This window comes from Homo sapiens, chromosome 13, assembly GCF_000001405.40.
Source record: "Homo sapiens chromosome 13, GRCh38.p14 Primary Assembly".
NCBI classification, from domain to species: Eukaryota; Metazoa; Chordata; class Mammalia; order Primates; family Hominidae; genus Homo; species Homo sapiens.
This window is the reverse complement of record NC_000013.11, coordinates 100,705,294-100,730,451: the sequence shown is the minus strand read 5'-3', so window position 1 is coordinate 100,730,451 and position 25,158 is coordinate 100,705,294. Positions and strand designations below refer to the sequence as shown.

At 43.2% G+C, this 25,158-nt stretch overlaps 1 long non-coding RNA gene across 1 annotated transcript in view; it reads right to left on the bottom strand.

Moving 5' to 3' along the window:
* The window catches only part of NALCN-AS1 (NALCN antisense RNA 1), a 350,962-nt gene extending 328,835 nt beyond the window's left edge, over positions 1-22,127 (bottom strand). The window contains exon 1 of the long non-coding RNA NR_047687.1: positions 22,059-22,127. This is a non-coding gene — a long non-coding RNA (NALCN antisense RNA 1). The remainder of the gene's footprint in view (positions 1-22,058) is intronic.
* Between the last annotated feature and the right edge of the window lie 3,031 nt (positions 22,128-25,158).

Genomic DNA, 25,158 nt, shown 5'->3' with positions numbered 1-25,158 from the left:
TTGTGAAAGGATATTCCAATCTCGAAGAGTCCTCAAAAGAGCAAAGTGAAGAGAGCATTTACAAGAAACATTGAATGCAAGAAGTACCTTTTTTCATTATAATATTTTTAAACATAAACAATTATTTTCAGCTGCTCTCAATACTCATGCCTACGATATTTTAACAGCCAGAAAGAAAAAACTTTCAAATAGCATAAGCAGTAAGAGTCAGTGATGTTTTTGTTTTGTTTTGGTTTTGTTGTTGTTGTTGTTTTTTAGTGTAACCAAAGGCTGGTTGCAGGACACACGCCTGTAATCCCGGAATTTGAGAGGCTGTCATAGGAGGATTGCTTGAAGCCATGAGTTTGAGACCAGCCTGGGTAATGTAAGATCTCATCTCTACAAATTTTTTTTTTTTTAAGATTAGCCAGGCATGGCGGCACGTGCCTGTAGTCCCAACGACTTGGATGGCTGAGGTGGGAGGATTGCTTGAGTCCAGGAGTTCGAGGCTGCAGTGAGCCATGATCACACCACTGCAGACCAGCCTGGGCAATGAAGCAAGACCCTGTCTATAAAAATAAATAATATAAACAGAATTTTTCTGGGAATAAATTTTTGACATATTCCTTACAAACTCACTGATAAAACATTAATATGATTTCTTGCAGATCAGCAAGACACTTAAATAATAAAATTTTTTTCCGACCATAGTCTCTCCTCATGCCAGTTTATCACATAAAATATTTTATTTTCCACTTCCTATTAAATGAATTAAAAATAAAATGGATGCTGTGCCCTATCTCATTTTAGTAATAGACCATATTGAACTATCAAATTCACTTCCTATTGCTGTAATAACAAATTATGACAAACTGAGTGCCTTAAAACAATGCAAATTGATCATCTTGCATTTCTGGGGGCCAGTCTGAAATGGGTTTCAGAAGGCCACAATGTCGGTGTCTGCAGAGCTGCCTTCCTTCTGGAGATTCTAGGGGAGAATCCATTTTCTTGCCTTTTCCAGTGCATAGGGGCTGCCTATGCTCCTTGACTCATGGCCTAATTCCTCCACCTTCAAAGCCTGCAACGTGAGGCTGCCCTTCTCATGCTGCTGTCTTTCTGGTTCTCTCTCTTCTTTCTCCCTCTTCCACTTATCAGCATCCTTGTCATTACACTGGGCCCACCTAGACAACCCAGCCTCATCTCAAGTTCAGTTGACTGGCAACTTTGATTCCTTCTAAACCCTAATTCCCCTATGCCATATAACTGAACATATTCACAGGTCCCAGATACTAAGATACAAACATAATTGGGTAGCTGGCATTTTGCCTATCACAACTATTAAGAAACAATTCTAATAAAATATAGTTTTAGGTTTATTATTTATCAAAGTTTGTAATATATTATTCCATATTAATATATTAATATATTATTTTGATCAATTATATTCTAATTTAACTTATAACTAAATATAAAATAAACTTCTTGTCACTAAAAGCCTGATATTCATAAGAAATAAAGCAAGATTTTTAATCAATAGACATAATTTTACTGCAAACAAATTTAATGGAGTGAGTACTAAAGACTTTCAAGCATAAAATTCCATTATATTTACTAGATAAAATTCTATGGGAGAAGTAGAATAGAAATTCAGGCCAAGGAGAAAGATGAAATATACATTTTCCCAATGTTTAGGAAAGGTTTTTTGTGTATACATTTGTAAAATATGACAGTGTATAACAAATCTCTATGGCATTTAGGTTCCATTGGATATATTTAAAAGTATAATTGACAGATTTGCTTTAAAATGTTGATACCATCAAATCTCACCAACTATTGCTGAGCAAAAGAAGTCAAATGATATGATTCATTTATATACTCAGGACAGTCCTCCCTGTGATCTTGAACTGACCCAGTTCTCCCCCACCTCTCACCCCTACCCCCATTCTCACTTGTAGTTCTCAAGAACAGCTGTAGAATGTGCTGGGAAGGGGGAGCTGGCGAGAACAGCCCAGACTCTATTCACGCCCCTACCCTAGAAACAAGATGTCCTTCAACACTTTAGCCCAGCAATTCACATTTCCCCGGGGCATAAAACCTTAGGTACAAAGCCCACGGCAGACTGCTTTTCAGGGTCCCTCAGCTGTAATAGAAATGGGTCATGCACAGTCAAGATTCCATCTGTCCTGGGCAGCTTTCCAGAGCTTGAGGGGAATGGCTTATGGTGGATCCTAGGCTTCTGTCGTCCCTTGCTGCCTATCTGTGAGTAATGAACCTGCTCTATGTAATTTGTTGTGTGTGGGGGGTGCTCTGTCTCACCAGACTCAGAGAAGTTGGTAACTAGGGCACTGTGAACTTATTTCACAAGATAAAATTCAAAAATAAGCAAACTAGTCAATAGTATTAAAAGTCAGGATGGGCCAGGCATGGTGGTTCACACTTGTAATCCCAGCACTCTGGGAGGCTAAGGCAGGTGGATCACCTAAGGCCAGGAGTTCAAGACCAGCCTGGTGAACAAGGCAAGACCCTGTCTCTACTAAAACTATAAAAATTAGCCTGGCATGGTGGTGTATGCCTGTCGTCCCAGCTACTTGGAAGGCTGAGGTACGAGAATCGCTTGAACTCATGAGGTAGAAGTTGCAGTATGCTGAGATTTCACCACTGCACTCCTGCCTGGGCAACAGAGCAAAACTGTGTATCAAAAAAAAAAGGGTCAGGATGCTGGTTATCCTTGGAATGGAGCAGGGAGTGACTGGAAAGGGGACAGGAGGCTTCTGGGAGTCTGGTAATGCTTTGTTCCTTAATCCGGGTGCTGGTTATACAGGTGTGCTCAATTTGTAGAAATTCATGAACCGTACACTTATGCTTTATTCACTTTTCTGTATGTGAGTTATAATATAATAACATCATTATTTAAGATGTCAATATAGCCTTTATGCATTATGGATATTTGTACAGTGTTATTTATCTTTCAGATATTTTTCTCGCTCTGACAGTTGTACTTTAACTGCTTTATAGAAAACTGGACAAAATTGACAAGAAGGCAATTCAAAGAGGGTGCCATACATTAAATAGCCAAACAAACATGAAACGACATGCAGTTTCACTGCTAACCAGGGAAATGCAAATGAATACAACATATAACTCTTTCACTCAAATTGGAAAACTTTCTAAAGGTTTATAACATACACTGTTGACAATGAGAATAGGGAAAGAGGCATGCATATGATTTTGGTCAGGGTATAAAATAGTACAGAATTGCTGAAAGGCAGGGTATTAGTCCATTTTCATGCTGATGACAAAGACATACCCGAGACTGGGTAATTTATAAGGAAAAAGCGGTTTAATGGAGTTCCACGTGGCTGGGGAGGCCTCACAATCATGGCTGAAGGCAAAAGGCACATCTCACATGGCAGCAGACAAGAGAAGAGAATGACAGCCCAGCAAAAGGGGTTTCCCCTTATAAAACCATGAGATCTCGTGAGACTTATTCACTACCATGAGAACAGTAGAGAGAAACCGCTCCCATGATTCAATTATCTCCCACCAGGTCCCTCCCACAACACAAGAGAATTATGGGAACTACAATTCAAGATGAGATTTGGGTGGAGACACAGCCAAACCATATCAGGCAGCTTGGGAGTCTTCTGACATTCTTGAGCCGCTGAATTTAGGTAACCAACCATCTATCTGCAAATCTCTAGAGAAGAAAATAAACCCTAATAATTTTTTTAATCTCAATATAGATACCCCCATCTCCATCCAAATTCATACCTTGTGAATTCAGGAACCAAATAGACTCAGAGTTTGGGTAAATCCCTCATTATCTGAACTCTCGCTACACAGCATCCAAAATTTAGAAATTGAAACATATTATATTTACTATTAATATTATTCAAACATTACATTCTTTTGAACCATTTAAACTTACAGTCAAATTTTTTTTTTTTTTTTTTTTTTTTTTTTTGAGACAAAGTTTCATTCTGCCACCCAGACCGGAGTGCAGAGGTGCAATCTAAGCTCACTGCAGCCTCCACCTCCTGGGTTAAAGCTGTTCTCCTGCATCCACCTCTTGAGTAGCTGGGACTACAGGCACCTACCACCACACCTGGCTAATTTTTTGTGTTTTTAATAGAGATGGGGTTTCACCATGTTCACCAGGCTGGTCTCAAACTCCTGACCTCAGGTGATCCGCCTACCTTGGCCTCGCAAAGTGCTGCGATTATAGGCATGAGCCACTGCGCCCAGCCTTACAGTGAATATTTTTAAATGCCAACTTAAAAATGTACAATGGGGAGGTGGTGTAAATTTTTGAAAAAATCTTTTAAAGCAAAAATTTTTGAAGAAAGCAGTCTTAACATGCCTCTTTTGAAATATATTCTTCAAGCAGACCAAAAATAAGCAAACAAAAATCCATAGGAGTTTATGTACACAATTAACAAGACTAAACAACTAACGTTCTCTGTTTCCGAAAGCAGAGAATATGCATTTTTTTCAAATACCCACTTCATATCTTGAAAAAATAGCCCTATTACAGGCCACACAAAGCTCAAAATAGTTCAAAAAATTGATATCATACTTTCCCAATCACTCCCCACGAAATAATGTTTTAGCCCCAACATATTTTTGCCTGGAAATGTTTAAACACGCATATACAAAGCCTTGAATTAAAGAGGACATCAACAGAGAGGGAAAAAAAGAAACTAACATTTCTTACACTTCTCATGTGCCTGTGGGGTTCCCCTGGGTCTCCCCACGTTGACACCCAGCTGCCACACTTGCCATGCCCCCTCCACTGAGAGCACCTCCCTGTGGCCAGGGCTCTCCCCACCTCCCCCAGCCAGTGTAACTAGCAGGCAAAGGCACCCAAGAGGCAGGGCTGCAGCACATTGCTTGGGCCCTCCGCACGCTCCCAGATAACCTTCTTAAGGGGCTCTGCTGGTGGAAATTCCTGTCCTTCTATGACGAATTAGTGCTGTCTTACTGTTACACACTCGATGTCTGTAACCCCTCCTTTCTTTTGGTTATGAACTCCTTTTCAGTTGCCTCCAGAAAGATCTTAGTTCATTTTTTTCTTGGACTTCATATTTTTCCTCAGCCTAAATTTTCTGATGAAAAAATCTCTTTTTTGTTTTATTATAAGGCTTTGGCTTTTGGCTCTTGTTTAACTGGCTTGATGGTATATAGCTCCTCAAATCATCTTTGGAAATAGATATGGTATAAATATAAAATACGTATACAAACAAATAAAACTTAAAGGGTGAAATTTTCAGGATAGGCTGGAGATCGTCAAAGGTGATATTTTTTGGCAGCTAAGCTCTTGATGAATTGTAGAGTGACCATCTCCCCGACCACTCTGTACAAGAAATTTCCTCCATTCAGAAACAATATAGATTGAACACTGAGAAAACCTTGAATACGGTTATCTCCTGTCCTGAAGATGGTTCAAAACTGCGAAGGAAGAAATGCCTCTTCTGGAAAACTGAGAGTTTAATATTCTACAGACAACCCTGTTGGGGACCCCACAGCAATTTCCCATAGTAATTAACACATTAGCTCTTGGGAGGTCACAACCGTCATTCTGTGCAGAAATGGCTGAAAAAAAGACACAAGAATTGCTTGGGGAACACAGTCATTTATTCAACCTCTGAGGTAGAAGAACCTGCAATTCCAGTTGTATTATAAACAGTCACTCAGAAAGTAGAGATAGCTGTATTTGCAATTTGGCACATTGCATCCCCAGTCAGTCTTAACATGCTTTAGTCGGTTTTCCATCCAGCGGCCACTACAAAAACAAGCCAAACCTTTCGATCTTAAATATTTCAAAGTGACATATTCACAAGAAATAAATGGAAGCTGGTTTTAGGCTTTCAGGTAAAAAACAATATAAACCTTAATGCTCTGTTCTTGGGAAAATTTATTTTTCTGATGGTTTCCCAGCACGGTTTTTGCAAGCAATGTAGAAGAGACATCTCCCATTTTCCAAAATGCTGTATCAAAGAAAGTACATGTTGGCCAAATGAACCCTTCTTCTCCACCTGATGTTTGTTTCACAATGTGATTTCCTGGAAGAGTGTTAGCTAATTTTAAGAGATTTACACCTGGAACAAATAAGCCTAAGAATGAAGAAAGACCAAAAGTGGAGCTGATTGCTTTGCCATCAAGGACAAATGCTGTCTTAGTCTGTGTTGTTATAAAGTAATATCTGAGGCTAAGTAACTTATAAAGAGGTTGGCTCATGGCTCTGCAGGCTGTACAGGAAGCATGGCACCAGCGTCTGCTTCTGGCAAGGGCCTCAGGCTGCTTCCACTTATAATGGAAGGTGAAGGGGAGGCCACATGTGCAGAGATCACAGGGTGAGAGAGGAAGCAAGAGACAGCAGAGGGAGGTGTCAGGCTCATTTTAACAACTGATTCTCATGGGCCTAAAAGGGAACGCTCACTCACCCTTAAAGGAAGGCATTCATTGATTCATAAGGGATCCACCTCCATAACCAGACACATCTCACAAGGCGCCACCTCCAACATTGGGGATCAAACTTCAACATGAGGTTTGATCCAAACATCCAAACTATAGCAAATGCTATTTCCATAAAATGCTACCATTATGATCCTGCCACCCACCAGGATCAGAGCAGTGAGCTAGAGGAAGTTCTAAGCCAGCAAAGAGTTCCACCATCTTGAGTTACTGTCCTCTCCTGCTCTTTTCTGGTGTCTCCCCTCTGGCACTGAGCCTACTGATATCCCTACCCCCCAACTCATGTCACCCTCACCTTCTCCCCCACCATGAAGAACAACCTGGAATTAGGTATGACCTCAGGCCCTGGCCCCAGTCTCCCCACCCCCAGCCTCCAGTCCTATATTCCTCTCCTCTTGCTGCTAGAACAAACAACAACAATCTCAGTGGCTTAAAATAACAGAAAGATATTAGTTCTCAGCTCTGTAGGTCAGAATTCTGAGTGGGCTCAGCTATTTCTCTGCTCTGGGTCTTGCAAGGCCAAAATTAAGGTGTTGGCCTGCGTGGGCTCTTCTCTGGAGACTCTGGGAGAACCTGCTTCTAAGCTTATTGAGGTTATTGGCAGAATTCAGTGTCTCCCAGCTGTAGGACTGAGGTGCCCATTTTCAGGAGCCTCTGTCAGCTGCCTAAGGTCACCTGCATTCCTGGGCACATTACCCCCTCTCTCTTTAAACCAGCACTGGCACGTGGTATCAGCCTCATACTTGAGTATCCTATTGCCCTCTCCTAGGATTCTCTGCTTGAAGGGCTCATGTGACCACATTGGTATCCTCCAACCCCCCATGACCCAGGACAATCTCGCTATCTTCATGCCAACCGACTATTAATAGTAATGTCAATCGCATCTGTAAAATCCCTTTTGCCATGTAATGAAACATATCCACAGGCTCCAGGAATTAGAATGCGGACATCTTTGGGGGGCAATTCTGTCTACTCCGCCTCCCTCCCAGGATTCCCTTGTTGCCAAGCAGATCTGTCATCTCTGGTGCCCGGGCTGGGGCAAGCCCTCTGCACCCAGGTACACCTTATGCTGGAACTAAACCACGGAATCGGCCTCCAGCCTTCGTTCTTTACTGTGAAGCATCGTCCTGCCAGGGGCCCAGGTCTCCTTCCCACCTGAGCACCCATATCTCAGAAGCTGGTTTTTGGCCAGAAGGGAGGCAGTTGGCTTCCTCTCCAGGAGCCTGCCACAGGCTGGTGTTACACTGTAATTGCACAGCGCTCTAGGAACTGACTGCCATCCATCAATAGCCTCCTTCCAAGAGTACTGGCCTCTGCCATGCCCTGCTCCCAGAATCCAGTACCAACAATGGCCAGAATCATCCCCCCTCCTCCATTCTCCCCCGACTGCTGCCACCAAAGAGACTCTCTTTGCCAAAGCCAGCGGCAGGAGAGCAGGAACCATAGGAGGCTATGAAGCTGCAGGCTGCCTCTCTAAGCCACAAATCAAGACCAGTTAGTTTTTCTGTTAGAAATCCTGTAAATATTTCTGATCAAATCACATTTTTGTAATTTGTAGATGTTGGTTATGTGTTCTCCCAAATATTGCTTGTTTAAAAACATTTCTCCCTGAAAAGAAATATGTTCTAGCTCTCTTTTTTCTAAAGCCAGAAATATAAACAGCACCAAGAATTTATATACGAAAGATTTAATATTTCCCAACCTCCTCATCATTTCTACTCAGCTTTCAACTCCTACTCAATGCATTTTCCTAAGGGAGTCTAAGTTCTTACTAATTCACAAACATAGAATACTGACATAAAGAATCGCTGCAAAATCTGTAGTAAGGAAAAGAGAGAGGAAGGGCAAAGAAATCTGCCCACAGAGGTAAAACAACATGCTCCTTAACGCCATCTAGTGGGCGGCCAGATAATTCATCTATCTCCCCTACTTGGTCCTCCAGCCTCCCCACACCATGAGTGTTTCCGTACATACAGCCCACCCTGAAATTATGCATACACACGTGAGATCATTTGTATTAATTTATTCTATGACCCTTTTTTGTTAACTTCATAAGCATCAAGTTCATACATGAATCATAGTTCACAAACTCAGGAAACAGCACATCTCTTTATTTATATAAATTAATTTGATTTCTGATCCCAGTGCTAATAATACCAGGCTGGTAGAAAATCTAACCTCAATGACTTTCAGAGTTTCCGGATGTCTCCCTGAAGCTCTCGCACGGTTATGGAGGTCTGTGTGCACTGCTGCAGGTCTGTGACATGCCCCCTGGACTCGCATCAGTTTGCTAATTGCTGAGACATCCTCTTCCCCCTGCATGGCCCCAGCTGGGCCCCATTGCTGCCATGAGACTCCATCTCCCTAAATGAGCTGGACGGCCTTTGGATTCTTGGATTCTCCCCTGGGTCCGTCAGCATCTCCATGTGCTTCCAGGAAGCCATGACCAAGACTCCCTCTCCTCTAAGACCCTCAGACTTCCTGCTCTTGATTCACGTACCTCTCCCTCCTGCCCCTCTGCGGTATCAGATCTCCAAGCAGGACACCTCATCATTGAAGTGCCTCTCAGGGACCTACAGCCTTATCTCCTCAGTGGGTTTAGAATCAAGTCAGGCAGCCTCAAGCCTTCCTGGGGGCAAAGAATCTCGGGTCTATCTGCTTGAAGGAGGTGGATAAAGGGAGAAAATTGGGCCGAAAGCCCATAAATATCTCAACAGCCTATTTAGCCAATAGCAATGAAAATACATAGCCTTTCTCATGTATTTATGGACAATTATGCTCATGTCCAGCAGAGAAATCCTGAAGTATACGTGAGCCCTGCCAGAGTCAGTGATGCAAGTCTTTCTTAGAACCCTGAGCTGGCGGGAGGCTAACCTTAGCCACCAGCAGCCTTAGCATCGGCGGCCTCAGAGGACTAATTTCTCCCTTTGGAGGTGGGACAACATGTCTCCCTTCTGAAAAACAGTCCACAAGTTATTTTAGCACTAGTGTATCAGAATTTAAAAGGAGGCTCTTTAGGAATGCACCATGGTGTTTTTCAGCAACTTGCTGCAAGGTTGCCTTCCCAGCCTCCTGGGACAGAAGGAATTACTCTTCCCTTTGTTCCCACACAGTATGAAATTTGTAGGTGTTTTTAGCACTTCTTTTATTCTGCCTTCTCTATGTAGAAATAAATGAACACAACCCACACAAGAAAGGCAAAGGCTACTTATTCAGAGCTTGCTCCATCAAGGGAGTTGGCCACCATCACTTTTGTTTGGCAGGGACTCAAAGGCAGGCAGGGGAGTGGGAGAACTTTACAGAGCACACAAGGGATGGCTTCAGGTGTGCCCTGATTGGAGGCTGTTGGCCTGGGGAAGCCCACGGTGGCCAACTAGGAGCATTGAAGCCTATCTGATTGGTTAGGGCCATAGTTGGCTTTCTGTGGTTGGTCTTAAATTGGAAGCAGGCACAAAAATTAGGGAAGGTGTCAGTTATTAATCAAGTCCTGTTCATTTGGGGCCGACTACTAGAAGGGTTATTGTTTGGCTTCTTAGACCAGTTGCTAGAGATAGTAGCCTGACTTCCTGTAAGTCTGGCTTTTAAAGGCAGCAGATGGCTTCCTGGGCTGGTTACTGTATATAATGGGTTGATTTTCTGAGGTAGTTGCTGCAGATTTGGGGTCAGAGTTGTATTTTTATATACGGTCTGGCCACTGTCTATGTGTATATTCAGTCTCTCATCTACTACAGTTGGCTATTTCTACTGAAGGCTGTAAGATCCTTGAGGACAAGAGCCAGATCTTTGTATTTGTATTGCCAATGTACAGGGTCTAAGACAAACATATTTTGAAAATTGAGCTGAATCAATTTCACATACACGTTTGTGGAGGTAAACTGAATACGTTTCATTTTCCCTAGTACAGTCACTAGGCTTGTTTTTCCCTTTAGCACAAAATACTAACAGATAGCACTGTACGGTCTTCCATTTTAAGCAAAGCTTGCCGCCACTGCTAACAATACTGCTAACTCCACTGTATTAGTCCACTCTCACATTACTATAAAGATATACCTGAGACTGGGTAATTTAGAAAGAAAGAGATTTCATTGACTCACAGTTCCACATGGCTGGGGAGGCCTCAGGAAGCTTACGATCGTGACAGAAGGCGAAGGGGAAGCAAGGCACGTTTTACATGGCAGCAGGAGGGAGAGGGAGAGAGAGAGAGAGAGAGAGAGAGAGAGAGAGAGAAAGGGGAAACTGACAGTTTTAAACCATGAGATCTCGTGAGAACTCACTACCACAAGAACAGTATAGGGGAAACTGGCCCCATGACCCAATCACCTCCCACCAGGTCCTTCTCTGGACATGTGGGGATTACATTTCAAGATGAGATTTGGGTAGGGACACAGAGCCAAACCATATCATCCACGTATGAATAATTTGTCCTTAATTTTTTTATTTTCCTGCAACTTCCCTTGCCTGCCTTCTGTCTAAATTAAGGCAACAGCCCATGAGCTGTTGAATACCACCTGATAGGGTTTGTCACTCTGTATTTTTTATTGTTGTTATGAAACTGAGCTGTGTCTACCTTTCCCAAGTTGGCTTAAAAACAAGATGCATTTGTATCGAACCAATATTTTCCTGGTATATTTTGGCTAAAGACATACCACAGACTGAAGAGATTTGAAGAGGGCCTTCTCTCCCAGGTAAGAGAATTAAGAATATATTATCATTGGTATCCCTTCAGCTTTGGTCTGAACACCCAAATAAGTAGTCCTCTCCTCTCTAATCGAGGTAAAATTCTCATATATAACATTAACCATTTGGAAATATACAATTCAGTGGCATTTACTGCATACACAATGTTATACAATGGTCACCTCTATCTAATTCCAATGCATTTTCCATCACCCCAAAAGGAAATGACATACCTATTAAGCAGTTAATCTCCATTCCCTCGCCCCATTAGCCCCTGACAAAACTAATCTGCTGTCTCTATGTATTTACCTATTCTGGATTTTTTATGTAAATGGATTATACAGTATGTGACCTTTTGTATTTGGCTAATTTCACTTCACATAATAGTGTCAAAGTTCATCCATGTGGTAGCACGTATCAGTATTTTGTTTCATTTAGGTTATCTGTTGATGTGTCAGAGGCATTTGAGCCACAGCACCCCCATCTTGAACAGAAGCTGGGTAAAATAAGGCTGAAACCTACTGGGCTGCATTCCCAGATGATTAAGGCATTCTAAGTCTCCAGGTGAGATAGGAGGTCAGCACAAGATACAGGTCATAAAAACCTTGCTGATAAAACAGTTTTCAGTAAAGAAGTCGGTTAAAACCCACCAAAACCAAGATGGCCATGAGAGTGACCTCTGGTCGTCCTCACTACTACACTCCCACCAGCACCATGACAGTTTACAAATGCCACGGCAGCGACAGGAAGTTACCCTATATGGTCTAAAAAGGGGAGGCATGAATAATCCACCCCTTGTTTAGCATATCATCAAGAAACAACCATAAAAATGGGCAACCAGCAGCCCTCGGGGCTGTTCTGTCTATGGAGTAGCCATTCTTTCGTTCTTCTTTCTTAATAAACTTGCTTTCACTTTACTCTATGGACTTGCCCTGAATTCTTTCTTGCACAAGATCCAAGAACCTTCTCTAGTGGTCTGGATCAGGACTCTTTCCTGTAATAGAGGGACATTTTGTCGGTTTCCACCCTTTGTCTGTTGTGAATACTGCTATTATGTACGTGGGTATAAATGCTTTTGTGTAGACACATGTTTTCAGTTCTCTTGGGTATATACCCAGAAGTGGAATGGCAGGGTCACGTAGTAATTTTGCATTCAACTTTTTGAGGAATCTTCTCTTGTTTTAAAGCAGCAGATGCAAGGAGTGCCGAATCCAGTTGAAACATGCAGGGAAGCTAGGGAGAACTGGAATGGCTCTGCAGGCGCTCCAGGGGTGTTCGCCTCCTCCCTGAAGCCTGCTGAGCCCTGTGTACCATACCAGACTGCACCATAATAATCCGTTTCCTACGTCTGTAATGCCAACTAGCCTACAAGTCCCTCTGCAGCAGGGGACACATTTTATAGGTGCCTCTGTGTGTCCCCAGTGCTTAGCAGTTAGCACTGTGCCCCGCACATAGTAGGCATTCAAAAATGTGGGTGGGGTCTCAATCAATTTGTAATGATTAAACTAATTAAGGCAGCATTCCCTTAGCAGTTTGGTCCTTGTTTAATAAGAACATACTTTTCCTTGGGATACCCACTGAGAGCTGCTGAAAGGGTACAGCACCATCATCTAACACAAAGAACATATAAATTTGGAAAGCAATATAGCCCGAGATGCGAGATGCGCTAATGATGATAGCAATCTCCACTCTGGGATGGTGCATTGAACTTGTGTTTAAATTAAAAGCAAGCGCCTTGGAGCATTTCTCCATTCTTAGTACAATGGCTCATTATCTAAAGCAAAATACAATCTTAGAAAACACTGTCAAATAAAGCTAAGTATTGTGTCTGTAAGAAAAATGATCTAAGTGATTCGCAGGTTATATTGTGTCTTCATCATTCAGAATTTCTAGGACTGAGAGTTCACCCATTCTGCTTCTATAGAATCATCAGTACATCTTAGGATCATGAAGGACAGAGTTAATTTTTAAAATGTACAATAAACTCAGCCCTACTGTTAAATGCTACCGTTACACAGCTCAATCCTCACAGCTCACTGCTTTGTTGGCATTAGGTGTTATCTAAATGCAAGGCCATGGCATTCAAAAAGCTGTAAAAGAAGACTTAACACACCCAGCTCTGTGACACTGGGCGTCATCGCAATGAGATCTTTTTCGTTCCCCTGTAAATTCTCCCTTGATGTTGAAGAGCTGAGACTAAAAATGATCAAACACCAATTAAGCCATAGTGATCTAAGAATTATGCCAGATGATGACTTGGAAAGGAGGGTCTGCTCCTGGAAGATAAATCAAGAAGAATGCGAGGGAAAGAAATATTAATGCAGAGTGAAAGGGTATGATTTCAGAGTGGCAGACAGGGATGAGAGACGGAATTTCCCCTCTCCCTTTCTAGACCAGCCCTTCTCTCTGTTTCAGATGGCACCCCCTCTCTCCCCACTCCAGGGCATCAGTGTGGGTGCCTTCTCTCGTGCCCCCTGGCCAATACAGCCTCCGAAGTCCCCCTCCTGTGCGCCCCATTCCTCACCCTCCAGCTGCCACACCCTAAAAACTGATTTTAAGCTTTTGAGAACTCAGGATTATTAAAATAGCCTTCCAGCCACCTTATTGCCTCCAAGTTTCCCCCATGCTAATGTATAGATTAACCCCCCTCCTGTAGGCTGATTCGCAGTTCAGGAGCTGCTGCTGACATCCCCTTCCTACAGAACAGAGTGCGACCCAGCCTTGCCTGGCACTCGAAGCTGACTGCTCTTTCTGGACCACAGTTCAAATGAGCTATTTCTGCTCCCCAGACACTTTTCTGCTGTCTCAGGCGGGGTTCCGCAGAGGCCCTGAGATGACGATTCATGTGCAGGTGACTTACTGAGGAAGCTGGACAGATGACAGGGAAAAGCCTAGAAGGGGGTGACTTCAGACACAGACCTTGGAGGGAACAGAGGGGAGCTCTGAAGTTTGTCTTTATCCAGGGCGAGGGCACTGGGCCTTCAGACTCCCTACACCCCCCAGCCACTGCCTGACACTGGAGAAGGGCCAGGTGAGGGTGGGAGGGAAGATGGGCTGTAAACCCAGGCACTCCTGGGACTCCGTAAGAGGAGGCAACGCTAGCTGAGTCCCAGGTACAGAGCTGTGGGAAGCAAAACACAGAAGTTTGTGTAGGGGGTTGAGTGGGTGGGAGTAGAACAAGAGGAATGGAAAAGGGGCCTAAGGACTTTGGGTGGAGTCACATGTCGGTCACACTTGCTTCCTACCTGGTGTTTTATGGGTGATCATAGAGGAGGCCATACCCTCATCTCCACTTGCCCAGATCTAGACCATCTTTCATAGCCCAGCATCCACAAGCCTTCCCTAACCACCAGACACACACACGTGCACACACATATATACACACACAGAATTAGTCCCAGCCAACACTGCCCAGCTACCAAATGGACAAGGTCCTGACGAACAGAGTATTCCCAGGCCTGGTCCTGGGAGATGGGGGCATGCGAGTAAGCAGGGAGAATGGGCACCCCAGCAGGGCACTGAGCCCAGCGACCCTGGGTCACCAAGGGTGGGTAGCACCTGGGAGTCCAGGCTGTTAGGAGAACAGGGCCAGGCCTCTTCACGGGTGGTGGGATTCCAGCTCCTGTACCAAGTTGGGAGCAATCCCTACCAGTCTTCCCGGAGGGCGGTATAGCTGTGGGAGGCAGAAATAAAATCAGAAACAAGCCAAAAACAGAAGTAAAATTATATGAACTGGAAACAACAGTGGAGACAGAAGGACAAGAGAAAGAAAGCTGTAACTTGGGAGGTGACCAGGCCCAACCAAGGTACCACAGCCCGGGTCAGCCTGACTGAGCATGGGGCCAGATATTGACCTCCACCCACAGGCAGGAGCACGAAGTGGCTGAAACTCAAAGGGGCCCTCTCAGGGATCAAAGAGGCTGCTTTTAAAGTTCTTGAGATGAAATGCCAAAAAAGAGACTAGTGCCTATTTGCTCATTTTCAATACTATGTCCCTCTATCTACAGTAGAGACTGGCAAACAAAATATTCAAATTCCCTGCCTCCTTTGCAGCTGGAGGTAGTCACATGCCACAAGCCTGGCCACTAAAAAATAGGTAAAAGTCCTCAGAAAGGGCTCCTCTCTGCTCTTTCCTGGTCTCCTTTCTTTTCTGGCTGGGATGCAGCTATTGGTGGCTGGTGATGTGGCAGTCATCTTAGGACCATAAGGATGAAAGCTACATGTCCAAGGTAGACAACGTAGAAAGAGACTAGTCTCCTGATGTAGTCTTTGTAAGTTAACAATAACTGCAGTAACAAGCAAACTTTGAACTCTCACACAGCAATCATTTATGATGTATGTAAATTTCAACTAGCAGGGGATGGAAGGAACTGCTCTGCTCCATGTCATGATTCAGGGACCCAGGCTGATGGAGGTGCTACCATCTTCAACACATGCTTTCTCAGATCACCCTGGGTGTGAACATCCAACCAGCAGAGATGAAAAGAGGGAATGAACCAATTCTGCAGTAAAGTTTTATGAACCAGAAGCAAAAGCTGCATATATCACTTCCAACTGCTTTCCTTTGGCCAGAATTCAGTCATCCGGCCACACTAACTGCAAAGAAGTCTAGGAAACATAGTCCAGCCCAGGAGGAAGGGAAAATAATGTGGCATCTGTCAGAACACTCTCCTGTGGCCACACAAACCCCAGACTGCCTCCCTCTTGCCTTCTGGTGGCAGAAGCTTGGAAGGAAGATATATATCTTCCCTAAGATACTGTTTGTTGGGGGTCCTTGCTATTCTCAGCCAAGTATAAACCCAGGATAACAGACATCGTGGTACAGTTCAAATATTTACATGTATAAAATTAATCCTTTTAACATTCCTACAACGAATGCAAGACTGTTAATCACAAGATAATTATAGCATGTACTGAAAATATTAATTTATAATGCTACAGAGGTGTGGTTAGTAATAAGATGCAAGATTCAATTTATATGACATCATTTTTTCTCTATCCTGTCAATGATTTCTGTCACTGTGTGTTTAACTTCAACATGAGAAGTGAAGTCTAATGTTTGAAGTTTTTCATGGATGTGAGGACTGGGCCAAAATGCTCCCCCTGCTCAAATTGGGAGAGGGGGAATAAAGGAAAAGAGGAAAGGAATTGATCTACCTCTGCTTCTGCCAATGAATTAGAATTTGTGTGACTTTGAATTTGTGTGACTAGAACTTGGCAGAATCTGCTTCTGCCAAAGAATAGAATTTGTGTGACTCATGTTTATATTTCCAACACATAAAACTTAAAAATGGATAATGGATAGATGGATAAGACTGTCAGAGTGACTGCTACAATGTCAGATATTAGCAGCTACAATTTTCTACACAAAAGACATAATAACTTTGGAGACATGTAAAACTGAAGATTTCACTTTTGGTAATTTAAGCATTTTTGAAATAAGGTATAATGTGGCTTTGTGAAATATGATTCAATATTCATTTCATAAATATTAGGACTAGAAGGGATCTTAGTCCAGGCCCCTGTTTAAGAGGAAGAAAGGAGATGAGACGGTGAGTTTACTTGCCCAAATTATAAGTGACTGAGCCAGCATTGAAACCCAGACTGGTCCTGACACCCACCATATATCATGTTTGATAAAAAGAAATGCAACAGCAGTTATGGTCCAGCATCTTTTGGCTACATACCCAAAATAACTGAAAATAAAGACTCAAACATGGGTATACATGCCTGTATACCCATGTACATGGCAGCCTTATTCACAGTAGCCAAAAGGCAGAAACCATCCAAATGTCCCTCAACTGATGAATGGAGAAGCAAACTGTGGTATATACCTACAGTGGAATACTATTCCACCTTCAAAAGGAAGGCAGATCTGATACCTGCTACAACACATATGAACCTGAAAACATGTCAAGTGAAATAAGCAAGGCCCAAAAGGACGAATGTCAGATTCCATTTATTTGAGATAGCCAGAAGGCAAACACACAGAGACAGACAGCAGAATAGAGGGTACCAGGAGCTGAGAGGAGGGGGAATGGGAGTTAGTAGCAGGAACAGTTTAACAAGAACAGAGTTTCCATTTAGGATGATGAAAAAATTCTGGAAATGGATAGTGCAGATGGCTGTACAACATCACGATTATACCTAATACCACTGAATTGTTCGCTCAAAATATGGTTTAAATGGCCAATTTTATACTATATATATTTTGCCACACACAAAAAAGGAACTATAACAAGAACTTTAAAAAAATACTTCTGGCTGGCCGAGCGCAGTGGCTCATGCCTGTAATCTCAGCACTTTGGGAGGCCGAGGCGGGCGGATCACGAGGTCAGGAGATCGAGACCATCCTAGCTAACACAGTGAAACCATGCCTCTACTAAAAAAATACAGAAAATTAGCCGGGCATGGTGGTGGACGCCTGTAGTCCCAGCTACTCGGGAGGCTGAGGCAGGAGAATGGCGTGAACCCAGGAGGCGGAGCTTGCAGTGAGCCGAGATTGCGCCACTGCACTCCAGCCTGGGCGACAGAGCAAGACTCTGTCTCAAAAAAAACAACAAAAAAAAACTACTTCTGGCAGGGCCCAGCTGCTCAAGCCTGTAATCCCAGCACTTTGGGAGGCTGAGGCACATGGATCACCTGAGGTCAGGAGTTCAAGATCAGCCTGGCCAACATGGTGAAATCCTGTCACTACTGAAAATGCAAAAATTAGCTGGGTGTGGTGGCACGCCCCTATAATCCCAGCTACTCAGGAGGCTGAGGTAGGAGGATTGCGTGAACCCAGGAGGCAGAGGCTGCAGTGAGCCGAGATCGCACCACTGTACTCCAGCCTGGGCGATGGAGCGAGACCCTGTCTCAAAAATAAATAAATAAATAAATAAACAAATAATAAAATATTTCTAATATGTATTTGGGAGAGAGTGTTCTGCCTAAGAATTTGATCTCACCCAAGTATAAGAGAGTCTCAAATACAAACTTTCAACCTGTTCTTTGTTCTGAAGGTGGAATGGTCCCTTAGCAGAACACCTTAGAGGGCACCTCAGGTCACTAAAACAGGGCCTATCTCCTGGCAGGTGTTCAGGAAATCAGCGTTGAATGATTTGGGGTTTTTTTGTTTGTTTTGAGATGGAGTCTCGCTCTGTCGCCCAGGCTGGAGTGCAGTGGTGCGATCTCGGCTCACTGCAACCTCTGCCTCCTGGGTTCAAGCAATTCTCTTGCCTCAGCCTCTCGAGTAGCTGGGACTACAGGCACGCACCACCACGCCTGGCTAACTTTTTGTATTTTTAGTAGAGACGGGGTTTCACCATGTTAGCCAGGCTGGTCTCGATCTCCTGACCTTGTGATCAGCCCGCCTCAGCCTCCCAAAGTGCTGGGATTACAGGCATAAGCCACTGCACCCAGCCCAAATGATTTGTTTTTAACTCAAAAAGAAGTCCCAGAGTCCAGTTAGAGATGAGGATGGAGAATTAAATTGCTTTTTATAATTCAGTAACTTTTTTTTAGTCTTGCATTGGTAGTTGGAGAAAAAAAGTTTGGGGGTGGATGTTAGAATGGAGGAAGGAAGTATGGGAGGTGATTTGAGAGAGAGGAGGAGGAAGAGGGAGAGAGAGAGAGAGAACGAGAAAGCACACATAACAGGAATCATGTGGAAAGCTAAATTTAGGAAGAACGTGGGCTGGCAGGTGAGGAATTCTTGTGCTCAGATTGGCCACAGAGTTTCCAGATGGAGATGTTTAGAATATGGAGCTGGGATGAGCACGGGATTATAAACTCCAAGGAAATTCCCAGAAGCATGTAGGAAAGATGCTCAATGCCCTATTCTATGCACAATGGGACACGTGCCATGTTGCTTTTGTGTTAGAGGAAAAGGTGGCCCCAGGAGCCTGTAGGACCTGGAAACATCCAGAATACCAAAGGGTGCCAAGTGAAGTGGCTCACACCTGTGATACCAGCTACTTGGGAGGCTGAGGCAGGAGGATCACTTGAGCCCAGGAGGTTGAAGTTGCTGTGAGCCATGATCGCACCACTGCACTCCAGCCTGGGCAACAGAGCAAGACCCTGACTCTCTCTATATATACACACATGCATATACACATATGGATATCTATACTAATATATAGTATACAAAGATATATACAGTCATGCATCAAATAACATTTTGGTCAACAACAAACCACATATACAACAGTGATCTAATAAGATAATGTTAGAGCTGAAAAATTTCTATCCCCTAGTGAAATCAGAGCTGTCCTAATGTCATAGCACAACATATTACTCACATGTTCGTGGTGATGCTGGTATAAACAAACCCTCTGTGCTGACAGTCACATAAAAGTATAGCACATACAATTATTCATGGTACATAATACTTGATAATAAATGACTATATTACTAGTTAATGCGTTTACTATACTACACTTTTTATCTTTAGAGTACGCTCCTTCTACTTATTTTTAAAAAGGTAACTGTAAAAGAGCCTCAGGCAGGTTCCTCAGGAGGTATCCCAAAAAGAGACATCGTTACCATCGGAGATGACAGCTCCATGCAAATTATTGCCCCTGAAGACCCTGCCATGGGACAAGACAGTGATATTGATGATCCTGACCTGTGTAGGCCTAGGCAAATATGTATGTGTGTATCTTAGTTTTTAACAAAAATGTTTAAAAGGTAAAAAAAAATTAAAAAATAGAAAAAATGTATAAGAATATAAAGAAAGTTATTATACAACTGTGTAATGTGTTTGTGCTTTAAGCTAAGTGTTGTTACAAAAGAGTCAAAATGTTTTAAAAATGTAAAGTTCATAAAGTAAAAGCATTACAGTAAGGTGGGGTTAATGTATTATTGAACAAGAAATATATTTCCTAAGTGTAGCCTAGGTGTCGAGTGTTTATAAAGTCTAAGTAGTGACAGTAATGTCCTAGGCCTTCGCATTCACGCTCCACTGACTCACTGACTCACTGACTAACCCAGAACAACTGCCCATCCTGCAAGCTCCATTCATGGCAAGTGCCCTGTGCAGATGGACCATGTTTAATCTTTTATATGGTATTTTTGTTGTACTTTTTCTATGTTTCGATACGTAAATACTTACCATTGTTATAATTGCCTCCAGGATTCAATACAGTCACATGCTGTAGAGGTTTGTGGCCTAGGAGCATAGGCTATACCATATGTAGGTATATATAGGCTATACCATTGAACCTAGGTGTGTGATAGGCTATACCATCTAGGTTTGTGTAAGTGTATGATGTTTGCACGTGAAGAAATTGCCTAATGATGCATTTCTCAACATATCCCCATCAGTACGCAACACATGATGATATACTATATATATATATAAGATTGTATATGCACATGGTCCCCAACTTATGATGGTTTGACTTAGGATTTTTTGACTTTACAATGGTGCAAAAGTGAAATGCGTTCAGTAGAAACTGTAGTTTGAGTACTCATACAACCATTCTGTTTTTCAATAAATTACATGAGATAGTAAGTACTTTATTATAAAATAGGCTTTGTGTTACATGATTTTTGCCCACCTATAGGCTAACGTAAGTGTTGAGCACATTTAAGGTAGGCTAGGCTAAGCTATAATGTTTGGTAGTTTAGGTGTATTAAATGCATTTTCGACTTACAATATCTTCAAATTATGGTGGTTTATTGGGATGCAACCCCACCAAAGTTGAGGAACATCTCTCTATATACAATCTTACTGGTTTTAGAAAGAATGTCTGAGGCACTTTTGCTCTTTGATTTTCCTCTGGAGAATTGCATGATGCATAGAATGCTCATGTTCAACACACACTCGTGGGATTCCCTGCATTTAGGTGACAATAATTTATAATCACCGCAGCTATTTGTTAATGCTTCAGTAATAGTCTGTCCTTACTGGTTGAAACATCAATAAAATAGAGTTATGCACAGTTCACCCACAGCAGCCTGCTCTTTCTCTGCAACTTTTATTCAAAAAGCATGTCAGCATATTTAAAAAGTAGTGACCAATCATTAGTTTTGTCAAGTCAATCATCTCCAACTGATAGTGACGCAACTCCAGTTTAGTGTTCTTTAGAATTACCTGGAGAAGTAATTATTGGGAACATACAGGCTCCTAGGCTACAACCCTAAGAGCTTCCCATTTATAGCATTTCAGGTAGCCCAAGAATCTGCATTTTAGCAAGTACTCTAGGAAATATGAAGCTATTTGGAAAACCTTATCTTAGAGATACTTTATTGTTAATACAACTTCCAGAGGTATTAGCTAGAAGTGCCCAATCAAGGCTCTGGATGGTGGGGGTGAAGAAAAGGAAGAAAAGAAAGTCATATGCTCCTTCCAAAACTAGTTCCTCTTGGCTAACCAGTTGTTATGGGCTGAATTGTGTCTTCCCCAACCCCCAAATTCCTATATTGAAGCCCTAACGCCCAGTACCTCAGAATGCGACTGTATTTGGAGACAGGGCCTTTAAAGAGGTAATTAATTTAAAATGAAACCATGAGGGTTAGCCCTAACACAATCTGACTGGTGTCCTTATAAGAAAAGGAAATTTGGACACAAAGAGAGATACCAGGGATGTGTGCACACAGAGGAAAGACCACGTGAGGACACATTGAGAAGGCAGCCATCTGCAAGCCAAGCAGAGAAGCCTCAGAAGAAACCAGGCCTGCTGACACCTTGAAAGAATACGTTTCTGTTGTTTACGCTCCCCTGTCTGTGGTATTTTGCTACAGCAGCCATAGAAAACTAATACACCAGCTGAAATGAGTCAGTTCTCACACTGCTATAAAGAACTACCTGAGACTGGGTAATTTATAATGAAAAGAGGTTTAATTGACTCACCGTTCCACAGGCCACACAGGAAGCATGGCTGGGAAGGCCTCAGGAAACGTACAATCATGGCAGAAAGCAAAGGGGAAGCAGCACTTCTTACCAGGGCAGGAGCAGGAGGAAGAGCGAAGGGGAAGGTGCCGCCCACTTTTAAACAACCAGGTCTTGCGAGAACTCACTCCCTATCACAGGAACAGCCAGGAGGAAGTCCGCCCCCATGATTCCATCCCCTCCCACCAGGCCACTCCTCCAACACTGGGGATTACAATCTGACAGAGATTTGGGTGGGGACACAGAACCAAACCATATCACCAGCTCTCTGTGCCTGCCTCTCACAGTTGGCTCACAGCCTGCAGAGCTGGTGTGCAATGTGTCATCATGATTTAACTCTCTTCATTTTCCCACCTAGGATGCCAGAAATCAGGGCCGCAAAGCCCACTAATGTTCCTTTGTGGGTGAGTCACAGGTTTGTGGGAGAGAGAAACTGGAAATCAGCTCATCAACCACTGAGCTAAAACAATTGTGCCAATGAGGGTCTGACCTAACCTCTCACTCTTGCGTAAATGATGGAAGAGAGAGACACCTGAGGTTTTGAGGCTCAGCTATCAGAAGCTGACTCAGCTCGATAAAGCCTCTTCATCAGCAGTTACATGCAGCAGGTCATACAACTGATTGATCTAACTGGAATCCCTCAAGTATTCCACAGGCACCAATGATATACTAGCCAATAACCCCACTGCGAGACAGAGTCCATGGATTCAAAGTCTTATTGCCAAAGTTAGGATCTGTAATCCCTTTCTACTTATTTTGAAATATGCTGCTGCACTTCAGCGAAATCTGATAACATTCTGGCAGGTATTATAAAATTAGTTGAATAATATTAGCTTAATTAGATTAATTGCTTGCTGTGATTATCTAGGGAATTTCATCCTTATCTTCATTCTCCTTTCTCAGCTCTTTCCTTCCCTCATGCTTCCCTATGGGTGGTATATTCAAGATTGCAGGACACTGAGTGAATGGGAGAGGGAACAATTGCTGAGATGAGTGTCACTAAAGACATTCACCTGCGCTCTCGCTCTCCTTCATACCCCTCTGGGCTACTGTGCCCCACCTCCAAGGGAGCCAGCATCACCACTGGGAGAGACATGGGGACTCATATGAAGCTGGAAATGAAGGAGAGGCTCGTCTGGGATGAAGGTGAATGAGACAGTAAGATACAGCTGTGTAAAAAGAAAAGGGAATGGTAAAGAATGGAGTAGAAGAGAAGAAAGTTTCATCAGAGGGTAAGAGAAGGAGGAAAGAAGAGTTTTGTGGACGGATTGAAGACATGTTGAAGTCTTAACCCCCAGAACCTGCGAATGCGCCCTCATTTGGAGATAGGGTCTTTGCAGATGGAATCAAGTTAAAATGAGGCTATACTGGATGAGGGCGGGCCCTTATCCAACACGACTGCTGTCCTTCTAAGAAGAGAAAAATTTGAACACAGACACACACAGAGGGAAGGTCACGTAAAGATAGAGGCAGAGGTTGGAGTGATGCTGCTACAAGCCGGGGAGTGCTGTGGGCCACCACAAGCTGGAAGAGGCAAAGAAGGACCCTTCCCTAGAGCTCGAAAGGACAACAGCCCTGCCAACACCTTGATTTCAAACTCTAGCCTCCAGGACTAGAGACAGTAAGTTTCTGTGGTTTTACGACTCCCAGCCTGTGGTACTTGGTTATGGAGTCTGAGCAAACTAACAAGGAGAAAGTGTGTGGAGAAGAGGGAAGCTTCCTGAAGGCTGTTTGCTTCTCATGCTGCCTGGAACATGGTGGCACTCAGTAAGGAAGTGTGGATTAATAGACTAGGTGACACGTACATAAGGCACTGACGACAGACGTGTGAGAGGAAATAAAGTGCAAACCGATGTCTATCACATGTCTTTTTCCCTCATTGGCTAGCTCAGTGCCTTACAGAAAACAGGTGCTTAACAAATGTGTTGATGAACTGATTAAATCATTTCCATAGTTATCTAACATTTATAAACGCGGGTGCACAGTTCTGCAGTGAGATCTTTTTTTAAGAGGTGGAACAGCAATTCGTCTTGAAAAAACTGAGCATCTCATCATGGACAGTTTTATCTCTTCATGGTTTGCAAAGGAATGAGGAGAAGGACAAGGAAGCAGAAAGAGAAGAAGAAAGAGAAGGGGAGAGGAAAGAAAAGAAGGAAGGGAGGTTGTTTTCGCTCCGGATGTAGGAGAAGTGGTGAGTGCAGCTCACGTGTGGTTCATGGGTAGAGAAAATGTCACTCATCGCAATTCTCTTAAAGAAGAGACTTTGTTTGGCAGGATGCCTTCCTAAGTTTCTGCCCACTGAGAACCTGGGTCAGCAGGCATAAAGTCCTCAGGGTGGGGAAAGACATTTTAAGTGAGGAAAGAGGAGAAATTTGGCTAGTTTGACTCTTGAAGAGAAGTGATCGTGTTGGCAGGAGCAGGGGTGGAGATGCGGAGAGGATGGGTGGGGACCTAGCAAAAGTGGGAGATGCAGGGACAGATGAAGGTTAAACTCAGTGGTGGAACAGCTACTTCAGTTATGTACTATTGTCTGTAAGACAATCCACCCTAAATCTGGAGTTACCTGGGTGTTTCTTTTGCCCCACAGGATGTGAGCTAGGTCTGAAGACATCTAGGAGCTCAACTGAAATCTCCTTAGCCAAATCCACAAATTCATTGGCTACATTTCCTATTCCCCATATTATCATAAGCAGCTGGAGTTGTGACATCTGGGTACTCAGCTAGACTAGAATGTCCAAGAAGGCTCACTCACAGGGTTGGCGGTGGATGCTGGCAGTTGGCTGGGAGCTCAAGTGGATATGTGTTGTCTTGAGTGCCTCAGTCTTGGTGGCTGGATTTCAAGAGGGAGCACCCCCAGGACAGCATTCTGAGAGAGAGGAAGCAGAAGCCACCAATCCTCAAATAAACTGATATCGATCAATTGTACTACATTCTATTGGCTAAGCAGTGTGAGGCCAGGCCAGACTCAAAAGAAGAGGAAATAAACTGTGTCTTCTAATGAGGATAATGACAAAGAATTTGTTTGCCATCTTTAACAGCAGGCAGCTGATGGAGCTTTTAAAAATGAGAATGTCTTCTGTGACTATTAAAATTGTTTGCTTTGTTTCAAAATAAGCCTCTCCAGCCTTCTTCAGGAATATACATTGTTTATA